Source organism: Homo sapiens, chromosome 7 (genome assembly GCF_000001405.40).
Source record: "Homo sapiens chromosome 7, GRCh38.p14 Primary Assembly".
NCBI classification, from domain to species: domain Eukaryota; kingdom Metazoa; phylum Chordata; class Mammalia; order Primates; family Hominidae; genus Homo; species Homo sapiens.
The window spans coordinates 157,241,074-157,254,161 of record NC_000007.14 but is presented as its reverse complement, the minus strand read 5'-3'; the positions used below and the strand labels follow the sequence as shown (position 1 = coordinate 157,254,161).

General features: G+C 43.6%; 1 protein-coding gene across 3 annotated transcripts in view; it reads right to left on the bottom strand.

Annotated features, from left to right (window-relative positions):
- UBE3C (ubiquitin protein ligase E3C) overlaps positions 1-13,088 on the bottom strand; it is a 130,445-nt gene that overhangs the window by 15,209 nt on the left and 102,148 nt on the right. For all 3 annotated transcript variants that reach the window (NM_014671.3, XM_005249564.5, XM_047421072.1), the window contains 2 exons: positions 5,582-5,794; positions 20-208 (listed from right to left, as the gene is read on the bottom strand). In NM_014671.3, coding sequence (NP_055486.2) covers positions 20-208; positions 5,582-5,794 — 402 coding nt within the window. The remainder of the gene's footprint in view (positions 1-19; positions 209-5,581; positions 5,795-13,088) is intronic.

The following is a 13,088-nucleotide window of genomic DNA, read 5'->3' as shown; positions in this document are numbered from 1 at the left end:
AAGTCAGCAGGTAGGGTACCTGAATTTCTTGCTGATCAAACATTCGGAGCCACTCGAGGCTGACGACATTGGCAAGGCCCTGGCGGAAAGCCAGGCAGTGCTGGCGGATCTGCCTGTTCAGCCTGTAGTCTGCCACCAAGTGGATGTACGCAATCCGGTTGGCGCTGGTGACAGGGATGTCTTTCCCACCGAATTTTAGTTCAACTACCTGGGAATACAAAACGTAAGGATCTCAAAATCCTCAAAGTATGATAATAGGTTAAAAAAAAAAGCAAGAAACAAATGTTTTAAGGAAATAGGACTTGATGCTTTGTGAACAAGAATCTAAATACGAAATAGTACCCGAGTATGCACAGCATTGTGCAGATGCCAAGATGCACCTCCAGGAAGAGTCTCCGAAGCCCAGCACCTTACTCTGTCTTTAAGATCACTAACCATCCATGTTTCCTCCGAAGCACTAGGGAATTGTGCAGCAATGTCACCATGGCAATTTTACTTAAACAAAAATGAGAAATCACAGAGGGCAAAGACATGAAGCAAACAATCACCGTTAAGTCAGAAGAGAAAAAGCGACTCATTCTGGAGGAAACGCAAAGGCTGTAGTAAAGTGATTTCTCATTTTCATCCATATAAGCAGCACACACTTACCTGTGTGCTTCCACAATGCCATTACTATAAAGCACTTTAATTACGATACAAAGGGTGGTGGTAACGATCAGTGATAACAGATCAGCCAATTTCTTATGTATATAAACAGAGTGAGTAAGAACACTTTTTATTAGTACGTGGCTATACTCACAGAATTTGCAGGTATAACGTGGAGCTCCCATAAACACCACAAGAGTGCTCATGAGAAAAGCAACACAGCGGAAACACAGACCTGGGTCTTACTGTCCCCCACTTGTATGACAGACAAGTCACTTTACACCTTGAAACTTTTGGCCATTAATAAAATGGTGATATTTGTTTGTCTGACTTGGAATTGCTGTGATTACATGATTATATGAATTCATAAATACAAAACAGTACACGAGCAAAATACAATATAAACATGTAATCATAATTTATAAAGAGTGTATTTTAAATAAAAAAATTTTTAAAAAGTATTTATTAAGAAAACCAAAAAAACAGGCCGGGTATAGTGGCTCACGCCTCTAATCCCAGCACTGTGGGAGGCCAAGGCAAGAGGATCCCTTAAGCCCAGGAGTTTGAGATAAAGCAAGACCCCCACCTGTATTTCTAAAACAAAACAAAAAAACAACAAAAACACCCCAACTGCATTCCTGGGGTTAGATGAGGGCAACCTATACTGTGGACAATGAAAATATAAAATAAGCCCAAAATAAATGAACAAAGACATTTCAACTTCCCTACCTTTCCATTCTTTTCTTTTCACAGCCTTCAGTTTTCCTGGTAGCTTTAATATTCCCAGAGTAACAGACAAGACTGCTGCCTCTGGGCAATGGCACTGATGTCCCAGTCTCTTACCATTTACAGAAAGATTGTTTCACAAATGTGCTAGAGAGCCTGACTTAAGTCATCCTACAGCTGATGGTTATAGGAGACTCGTTTGCTGGTTCTCATTTTATACAGAATGTTCAAATTGAACTTGAACGTTCAACTTACCAGATCTGCTTCTTTTAACGTTTCACATTTTAAAGGATGATACAATTATTCTCAATAATTCACTTCCTAAGGTTTGGAACCATCAAGCCTAAGAATGGGCTTTCAATTCCATTGTCTTCATTCTGATTAAAGATTGTGTTCATTATCTTAATTCCTTTGCTTGTACTCAGCTGACAGTCCATCTGTTAACCAAGCCTCAGGAGGCTAGCTATTATATTTCAATGTATAAAATACCACCCCTTCCTTTAAATGGATTAGAGGCAGGTAATAAATGATGATGTACTTGTATGATTTGGAAGACAAAGGACCAGTGAAGTTATCAGTTAAAGGAACTTCCAAGGCTCCCAATTACCTTGCCTGATCAGAGAAAACTGACATTTCTATAACTTTTTTTTTTTTTGAGACAAGGTCTCACTCTGTCACCCACACTGGAGTGCAGTGGAGCAATCTTGGCTCAGTGCAACCTCCACCATCTGGGTTCAAGAGATTCTTGTGCTTCAGCCTCCCGAGTAGCTGGGATTACAGGTGCACATCACCACGCCCGGCTCAGTTTTTTGTATTTTTAGTAGAGACAGGGTTTCACCATGTTGGCCAGGCTGGTCTGAACTCCTGACCTCAAATGATCTGCCTGCCTTGGCCTCCCAAAGTGCTGGGATTACAGCCGTGAGCCACTGCGCCCAGCCCCTCTAATAACTTTTAAACGGTTACACTACTTTTAATTTAAAATTCTCTCTCAGGCTAAGCCTAAACAACTATGTGTACTTAAAAATCATGTCACATAAGTGCTAAATTTCAGATCTGAGGGACATATTTAAAATTTCCTCTAAATACAAATATATTTAACTGGAGCAGTTCTCAGGACAGCAAGATACCAAGAGCTGTCCTTTCTGCTCCTCCAGAAAGTCTATTTTCACTTGGAATCCATAAAGCCCCACAAGACACCACCATACATGACCTACTTCCATTAGCTCATTTCATCCTCCGGCACTCACACCCGTCTGAGATGAGGAAGGGGTCTTGTGACTTCCTTAAGCCTCACAGAAAAGCGGCCAAACCAGGACCTGAACCAAGGTGTCGTGACTCAAGTCCAATCTTTTCTACCTAACAGATGATTATTTGTGGGTCCTTCTTAAACCCTTAGCATTTTCTGCTAGAAAGAGTTCTATGTAAATTAGTCGTCTAAAATTTCATGGTCACTATTAAACAGATTAACAGCCAAATTGATTACACTGAAAAAAACAAATTTGAGAGCAGCACCATATTTTAAAAGGGATGATTAATTAACATAACCTGCTGACACAATAAAGTATTTGCATATTACAAGTCTTTAAATCATACTTTATAAACTTAAAAACTTGTAAGGAGGACTACCTATTTATTTCTACAGAAATCCTTAAGATCTCCCTCTAAATTAGGTGCTTCACTAGTGAATTTCTTAATTTTTCTCATTAGGCTCTTTAGTATAATTATTCTCATACATTATCTATAATTTTTTAACTCAGTGGGAATCTCTATGAATAACTGGAACATCTTAACTTCACACTTTTGCTTTTAACAGATTCCAGTATTATCGGCAGTGCTTTAATGGAATTCTTGCATATGCGACGTTTCACTATTAACATTTATTTCAGAAGGAAAAATGGGAAATACTCGCATTAGCAAAGGCCTCAGGCAGGTCACCACAACACTCACCGTCCGAAGGCTTTTATGCCATTTAGAAATCAGGCCACTAGGTGGTGCAAGACCTAGCAGCAAGCGACATCACTGGATGTCGAGTACTTCCTAATGACAGTAACAGCCCCCCCGCCAAATTATCTAAATTTTGCATTGGTGAAAATTCAGCTCTATGGTATGGAAAAATATGCAGAAACAAAAGCAACTAAATAAGTTGTAACCAAATAAATATGGCTCTTGGACAGGCATGGTGGCTTGCATCTGTAATCCCAGCACTTTGGGAGGCTGAGGCAGGAGGATCACTTGAGCCCAGGACTTTGAGACCAGCCTGGACAACATAGGGAGACACCCATGTCTATAAAAAACACAAAAATTAGCCAGGAATGGTGGCTCATGCCTGTAATCCCAGCACTTTGGGAGGTTGAGGCAGGAGGATCGCTTGAGCTCAGGAATTTGAGATCAACCTGGGTAACACAGGGCAACACTATCTCTACAAAAAACACAAAAATTAGCCAGGTTTGGTGGTGTACGCCTGTAATCCCAGCTACTCAGGAGGCTGAGGGTGCAGTGAACCGAGATGCCATCACTAGACTCCTCCAGCCTGGGTGACAGAGTGAAACCCCGTCTCAAAACAATACAACAACAACAACAAAGCCCCATATGCTAAAGTAGACAGAACAGTGTATGAGCTCCCAACCCCACACAGCCAGTTCATCAGGCATCACACCTCCCGGCCAGTCTCTGGAACTGATAGCCCCACTTCCTGCCCCTGTTCTCACCACACAGGGTCAGTATCCCTTATCTGAGTGAAATACTTGGGCCAGAAGTGTTTGGATTTGTATTTTTTCCCCCCAAATTTTGGAATATTTGCATTATACTTATCAGTAAGAGTCCTTAATCCAAAAACCTGAAATGGTCCAATCAGCATTTCCTTTGAGCTTCATGTTGGCACTCAGAAAGTTTTGGATTTTGGAACATTTTGGATTTTCAGATTATGGATGCACAGAGTGTATTTGAAGCAAATCCCAGATGTTACTAACTCATTAATAATTATTTTAGTATGCTGTATGTGGATGTTTATAACAGTAATATTCTTATTAGCCCAAACATAGGAACAACCCAAATGTCCATCAACCAGTAAAGACCTTGTGGTATATCCATATAATGGAATATCATTTGGCCAGAAAAGGAATGAAGTCCTGATCCATGCAACTACAAGTGAAGGAAGACCACGTAAAAGGCTCTGTCGTGCCGGCCACGGTGGCTCACGCCTGTAATCCCAGCACTTCAGGAGGCCAAGGCAGGCAGATCACCTGAGGTCGGGAGTTCGAGACCAGCCTGACCAACATGGAGAAACCCCATCTCTACTAAAAATACAAAAATTAGCTGGGCGTGGTGGCGCATTGTAATCCCAGCTACTCGGGAAGCTGGGGCAGGAGAATCACTTGAACCCGGGAGGTGGAGGTTGTGGTGAGCCGAGATTGCGCCACTGCACTCCAGCCTGGGCAACAAGAGTGAAACTCCATCTCAAAAAAAAAAAAGACTCTATCGATGTGAAGTGTCCACAGCAGGCCCATGCAGAGACAGAGTGGACTGGTGGCTGCCTGCGGGAGGTGGGGGAGCCTGCTAATGGGTGCACGGTTGCTCTGTAGACCGAGGAAAATGTGCTAACATTGGCTAGGGTGATGATGGCTGCACACCTCTACGAATATACTAAAAACCACTCAATCATGTACTAAAAAGGGCAGATTTTATGGTATGTGAGTTACATGTTGATAAAGCTGTTATTAAGAAAATCAGTTTGAATCTCTAATATAGACCTTTCTTTTTTCTTTTTTAAAAAGGATATAAGTAACAAAAGTAACCAGATGGGTAATGAACACACCCCCTAGACAGTGCTGGAGCAGCTGAGGTGGCTCTGAGCGGGCAAGGAGTGAGGACTAAGCAAGGGGTCCTGCCGGGAAGCTGCTGAACGGCCACCCCCAGCACCGGGAAGAGCCAGACAAGCAGCAAGCCTGGGCCGCAGCCTCGAGAGTGGAGCTCCGCAGGAGGGGCTGCCGGGCAGGAACAGGCTTCATGCGTGGGAGCAGGAACTGCACTCAGCTCAGACGCCAGGGCTAAGGTGCTTTGGAGCTATATGCTTCGACGTCTAACTCACAGCCACAGTCATTCTAACTAAAATGTGCGGAAGTCAAACGCTGTAACACAAATGGACTTCCACACACAAGGAGATGCTGCTACTTGCTATACAGGTATGTGAATCCTCCTCCTGACCCCTCACCTGCGCCTCTCCCAGGTCATTGTTCACCACAGTGAAGTTCAGCCCAAGCTCCTCCACATCGTCTTCGTAGCTCTTCAGAAAGAGCAAATTCTTATACACCTCAGGGTCTAGGGAGGCGAGGTGGTGAATGTCCACGTCGGCACTGGTTCCAAGCAACTTGGAAAGAAAGAAGCCTGCAAAGGGCAGCTCCACCAGCATGTTCTCATAGAGAGCCTTCAAAAGAGAACAGTGACAACGTTAGCATCGAATATACAAGCCTTCTACAAACAAAGAGCCATATGCTCAACTTGATATTAAACCCAATCCTAAGAGAGCAGGTATTTTCTCCTCATAGTACCGAAGATGGAAGCTGATATTCAGTGGGCAGGTACTGTGCTCCAGGATCCCGTGCAGGCATTCAATGCACGCACTAAGCATGCAGAGAACTCTGGAACAGACCACCTAGGAGCGAAATCGTGGAATTATGAAGAGACAGATCCTTCTTGTGAGACAGAAGCCAACAAATGCTCCTCCTCAACAGAAGGATGGTGAATCCTTCAGGAACTGCAGGTTTGTTAGTCTCCCAAGGTGGCTACGGCAAATGATCACACACTGCGAGACTGAAAACCACATGAACTCACGCCTCGCAGCTATTGGACCCTATTTCCAAACAAGGCCTCGCAGCTATTGGACCCTATTTCCAAACAAGGCCGTGCCCACAGGATGGGGTATTAGGATTTGAGCACAGTTTTGGGGGGTCCCAGTTCATAACCGCATATGCCACTCTGCCCTGCAGCACAAAAGCAGCCATGGACAATGTGTCAATGAGTGAGGGTGGCTATGTTCCAAATTTGGGTTTCATGTGATTTTCACATGTCAAGAAATATTACTTATGCTCTTTTTTTTTTTGGAGACGGAGTCTTGCTCTGTTGCCCAGGCTGGAGTGCAGCCGCGCGATCTCAGCTCACTGCAACCTCCGCCTCCCAGGTTCAAGCGATTCTCCTGCCTCAGCCTCCCCAGTAGCTGGGATTACAGGCATCCACCACCATGCCCAGCTAATTTTTGTATATTTAGTAGAGACGGGGTTTTGCCATATTGGCCAGGCTTTTCTCAAACTCCTGAGCTCAGGTGATCCACCCACTTCGGCCTCCCAGAGTGCTGGGATTATAGGTGTGAGCCATCCTGCCCGGCCAAAAGTTTTCTAATAAAGACAATAGAGACAACAGTTACCATTCCTTGAGCACTTACTAGGTACTAGGTGCCAGGCACTGTGCTAGACATGCAGTTAGACATTAATTATCTTGTTTCCATGTGGTCCATCTGGACAATTTTTTAACTTAAGGTAAAGGAATGGAAGTAAACAAGAAATCTCAATTTCCTCTACAAAAGCCATTCGTGTTAGAATATATCTAGTCAGGCCAGGTGCGGTGGCTCACGCCTGTAATCCCAGCACTTTGGGAGGCTGAGGCGGCTGGATCACCTGAGGTCAGGAGTTCCAGACCAACCGACATGGTGAAACCCCGTCTCTACTAAATAAAAAAAAATTAGCTACGTGTGGTGGCATATGCCTATAATCCCAGCTACTTGGGAGGCTGAGGCAGGAGAATCGCTTGAACCCGGGAGGTGGAGGTTGCAGTGAGCCGAGATTGTGCCACTGCACTCCAGTCTGGGCAACAAGAGCAAAAACTCCGTCTCAAAAAAAGAGAAAATATCCAGTCTTCAGAGAGATGTGTATTTACAGTGATCCTATTTTCCCAGGTCAAACAGAGGTAGTCTAATTACCCCCGGGGGTGTGGAGAACAGGTGGAGAACAGTTTTAGAGAAAGAAACCCTCTCAACAGAGGCAGTCACGGGCCTTCCTACTGTCTGGAGGTGCAGCACTGGAATTTTTGCCCGAGAATGAGGGACGGCAGGAAGGACAGAGAGAGGGAAGGTGAAGGCTGGACTAACCATACCTTGCAAATGACTACTATGAGCTGTGCTGCAGGAGATGCTGTGATAGACCCAGACCCTCTTTATCCTACTGTTTTAAGATTCAAGTGCTATGGTGCTACCCAGGGAATACCAAAATCAAAACAAAACTTTATGGGGTAGTCATTCATCCATGAGACAGTCAACTCAGAAGTCACCCTTCCAACCTAGAGGCCATCACCCAACCATATCATGCACTGTAAATATTAGAGCGATCTGTGTGAATTAATAACATGGGAGTAAGTAGCTTCCAGAGAGCCGGGACTGTGCTTCTGCAAGCTTCCAGCAAAGGAGAAACGTTTCAACTGTGAGCCACTGCTCCTGTGGGGAGTGAGTCCTTTGCTTAGTCACAGCTTCCAACCAGTTACCGTATTTAGTAATAATCTACTTCGTATGTGTAGTCTATAAAATGCGCATCCTTAAATAAGTATTCCAGAACTTATACACTCCAACAGGGCATGCTCAGACACCCCTTGAGATTCACATTTTAAGGACTCGTCCACTGATACGACTGGAGAAAATGAGAAAATAGCTGTTGAGGTTTTCCCAAAAGCAAACATCTAGAGTACCACTGGCTTTTTGTTTCAGAAAATGACAGACATTGTGAAGAACACTGTTTTTTTTTTTTTTTTTTTTTTGAGACGGAGTCTCCCTCTGTTGCCCGGGCTGGAGTGTGCAGTGGCACGATCTCGGCTCACTGCAGCCTCCGCCTCCCGAGTTCAAGCGATTCTCCTGTCTCAGTTTCCTGAGTAGCTGGGACTACAGGCGTGCACCACCAGGCCCAGCTAATTTTTGTATTTTTAGTAGAGATGGAGTTTCACCATATTGGCCAGGCTGGTCTCGAACTCCTGACTGAAGAATGCTGTTTTTTAAGTAGCTCAGGCACATGTCTGATAACTAGAGCCGGCATAACATCCCCTCCAGGAAGACTGCGGCTGGCCTCTGCCAGGTAAACCAAAGTATTATGTCCTTGTGCTTTTATTTCTGATTTGAGGACTAATGATTACCCAATTAATTTTGAAAAGATAGCAAAAAAGGGTTTCTTAATGAGAGAATGAATAAAATGGCAACAGGCACATAGTCATCATCTCCTGATAATGTAAAGAAAGTTGTGTTGAAAAGTCACAGTTTGTTTAAAGTTAAGGATGGTTAATACTATTAACCTGGAGCACTGATAAACGGCATCACTTCGAAATGAATGACGAGTTCAAAGCCAAGGGGAACATTCTGCATACAACTACATGATTGATTCCAGGTGCTGAAGAAAAGCCCTCATTTGTACAGTGGACTTTAAAAGTAAACTGGAAGTGTAAATCATTTGATGTTCAATATATAAGGTCACTGTTTGCCATTTCTGCATTAGTAACAATAAACCAGTGAAACTAGTTAAATATATCAGAACTACCTGAATTTTAAACAGAAATCCCACTGTGACTCATAAAATGTAAATGCATAGGTACCATTTTTTACATGAGGCAGGTTTAAACCTTCAGAGCATTTAATATACAAGCACTAATAAATGATGGCACTAAAAACTATGATTGCATCAGCTAAATGGATTATAAATTAAATTTCCATAATGTATGCAACTGAGATACAAATGTAAGCATAAATCAAGGTATTTTCTAAACACAGGTTAATTATACAACTTCAAAAACTGCCTATTTTTTATGCAAAATAATCCACTTAGCATTTTTCACACTGGCCTTCTCAGCCAGCTGTACCACGCTTGTTCCTAGAAGCATATCAATAACTACTTGTCATGAAAAAAATAGCAATAGGTATATGGAAAAGACCTGTAACGAATTTTTCAACTGTCTGTCTTTTATGAATGTTTATAGCTAGAAATTGTGCCAAAATGATTTGAAATAAAAAGGATTAATTATAGTAGAAGCCTTTTAATATAAGTGAGTGCAGTCGCGACGCAATTAATGCAAATTGTGGCTCTATCAGAATAAATGTGAACCACATCACAGACCATTTCTGTTTGCCGCCAAATAACTTCAGTAATTTACTACATTAAGAATCAATAAAAAAATAATGCTTTTCAAATGCATCTCTATCAATCTTCAGGCAGCTCTAAAGTGAACATTTATAACTTAATCTAAAAACTATATAAGAGATGATGTCTTGCTTTAAAGCCATCCTAACTGAGCAAGCAGATAATTTTAATTATTTCATATCATATTAACCATATAATTTAAAAAACAAAAAAGAAACATAAAATAAGAATGTATACTAATAGCAACACGCTATTTAATAATTGTGCTTCAGAATTAGTAAGTTGGAATTGAAAAACAAAGTCCCTTCAGTCACTGGGACCACTAGGGGCTTGTGTAACTAACTCTAAACTCCTAGGGGGCAGGAGATATACCTCATCTTTCTTTCTTTTTTTTCGAGACGGAGTTTCACTCTATCGCCCAGGCTGGAGCGCAATGAATGGCACGATCTCAGCTCACTGCAACCTCCGCCTCCTGGGTTCAAGCGATTCTCCTGCCTCAGCCTCGCGAGCAGCTGGGATTACAAGTGCGCATACCATGCCCAGCAAATTTTTGTATTTTTAGTAGAGACAGGGTTTCCCCACGTTGGCCAGGATTGTCTTGAACTCCTGACCTCAGGTGATCACCCGCCTCGGCCTCCCAAAGTGCTGGGATTACAGGTGTGAGCCACCGCGCCTGGCAACATACCTCATCTTTAATGCAAGAGTCCAAATACAACATATGGTGCCCATTCATGTAACAAACATTTATTAAGTGCCAACTATATGTCAGGGACCACATTACATACTGGAATTCTGCATTCATGAATCTGTTTGCAAAAAAACCCTTTCATTCTTGTGTTAAGAGTTTTCGGATTGTGGGTTTCAGGTTATGTATACGTCAACACCCATTTCAAGTCCTAGATCTTCACAATCCTATTCCAGAGAGCTTTCTACACCATCAACTCCCGCAACACTTGGTCTACACAGCTACCCTGGCACTAAAAAATCCGTGTTGTCCCAGTGTCCCCTGCGCCTCACATGCAGGAACAGCAGCAGGAGGACACCAAGCTCCCTGGGAGGGGCCAGGCCGTGGGCCTCACTCTAATACTCCACTGGCAGGTGCCCTAAAGCCAATCTCTAAACGTGAGCTGAGGTGAACTCACTCCTCATTCAGCAGATGTCTACCACGGATAACTGAGCAGAGCCCACTAGCTGTTACTCAGAGAAAAAGAGCAACTCTGCCTTGCAAATCCTGAACCACCACACCAGGACACGGGTGCTGCACTCTTACTTCTCTACAGAGGCTGCCCAAATCCCCAGCATGCAGAGCTGCCGAGGCCTCACAGTGCTCGTACCTTTTCTTCCTTGAGACCCTGGCACTCCATAAAGACAAGGAAAGCCTGCAGAGATTGCCCTTCTCATCTCCAACTCGGCTTTCACTTCGGAAGCCCTGCAGGGCACAGAGGATGGGGGATGGGGACCGTGGAGGACACGTGCACATCTCCTGTCCTATTTTCCTCATAGTGGCTTCCAGCGATCGAGCCACAATATGATACATTTTGAGCAGCTTGGAGTTGACGCTTCCTTTTTTTTTTGAGATGGAGTTTCCCTCTTTCACCCAGGCTGGAGAGCAGTGGCACAATCTTGGCTCACCATAATCTCTGCCTTCCGGTTTCAAGCGATTTTCCTACCTCAGCCTCCCAAGTAGCTGGAATTAGAGGCAACCACCACCACGCCCAGCTTATTTTTGTATTTTGAGTAGAGACGGGGTTTCACCATGTTGGTCAGGCTGGTCTAGAACTCCTGACCTCGTGATTCTCCCGCCTTGGCCTCCCAAAGTGCTGGGATTACAGGCTTGAGCCACCAGACCTGGCTCGACCCTTCCTTTTTTTCCTCGACTTCTAGTTCTATGGCTTCCAGGTTCAGGCTCCAAAACACAGAAACCCCTGACCCTGCTCACCAAAATATTTCTAGAAGATAAAAAACATCTTCATGAACAAGGAAGTTCGCTAAAGTAGCAAACCCATATTCCCACTTCCACTGACAAGAAGCAAACATCTGAGCATCTGAGGACAGTTTTACACTCCTGCTTCTGAAAGACAGTAGGAATTTAAAAAAAAAAAAAAAAAAAAAAACAACTCAGGCTCAGTCTCAAGGTACCCCACATAACCAAGAACTATTTTCAACAATTAGAAGAAAACATCTTTCAAGTTTCAAAATTCTACTTTTGCCATATAGGAGAATAAAATATCAGACTAGAAATCTGTCGAGCCACCTCTTGAGAAATTTGAGGACAATGATGCCTTCGATGATAACAGATTTCGTTACCATCAGGTACTATGTTTCCCTAACAACAGCTCATGCTCTAATCACTATACTCCTTCCAGCTTTAGAACGAAAGCATCCATGAACTCCGATTGATACTGACTGCTGCTTTCTCTAACTTCTGTGACACTGGCTCTCTCAGTCACCACGTTACCTACCGCACGATTCCTTTGTAACAGCTTTACTGGGATATCACCCACATAACTTACATTCAAAGGTTTTATTATATTCGTAAAGTTGTATGACCATCGCCACAATCAATTTCTGAAGATTTTCATTATTCTAAAAAGAAACTCCACATCCCTCAGCTGCCACTCCTGGTTCCTCCCAGCCCTGGCGATCACTCACCCACCTTCTGTCTCTAGATTTTCCTGTTTTGGACATTTCATATAAATGGAACCATGTCTTTGGTGATCTCTGCATCTGCTCTCACCGGGCAGAACATTCTCAAGGCACATCCATGTGTGCCATGTGTCAGTGCTTTACCCCTTTTTACGGCCCAGTAATAGTCCACTGTATGGATGAACCGTATTCTGTTTACCCGTTTGTCAGCTGATGGGCCTTTGAGTCATTTCCATCTTTTAGCTATTAGGAATAATGCTGTTGTGAGAATTTGTGTGCAAGTTTTTGGGTAAATATGTTTGCTGGGTCCAAAGGTAATTAACCTTTTGAGGAACTGCTAAACTTTTCCAAAGTGGCTGCACCATTTTATCTTCCCATTGGCAATGCATGAGGACTGATTCCTCCACATCCTCACCAACCCTGCGGTTCCTGGTTTGATTCCCGCCGTACTCGCGGGTGTGCGCGGCAGCCTGTGGCTATGCTTTGCCCTTCCTTGATGACTAGTGATGCTGGCCATCTTTGCACGAACCAATGGCCCATTTGCTTGCTGCCAGTCCCTGGAGAGATGTCCAATTGGATCCTTCGCCCATTTTTATCATGGAGTCCTTCATATATATGCCACAAGTATCTTCTCTTTCAGTGTGTTGTATTTTCAGTTTCTTGATGGTGTCTTTTGAAGCATAAACATTTTTAAGTCCAGTTCATTTTTCCTTTTGTTTTTTGTGCTCCTGGTCTCACAGCTAAGACGGGATTTTTTCCTGACTATGCTGCGACACTCAGCAGTCCATTTTCCCACATGCCCTGCAGCGCTCTGTGATCCTCAGAGCACTCTGCGTGAGTAGCTGTGGTCTCTTTTGCACCCTTGAACCACCGGGCACAGAAGGGAGGTAGGCCCCCTGTGCTCCTTAC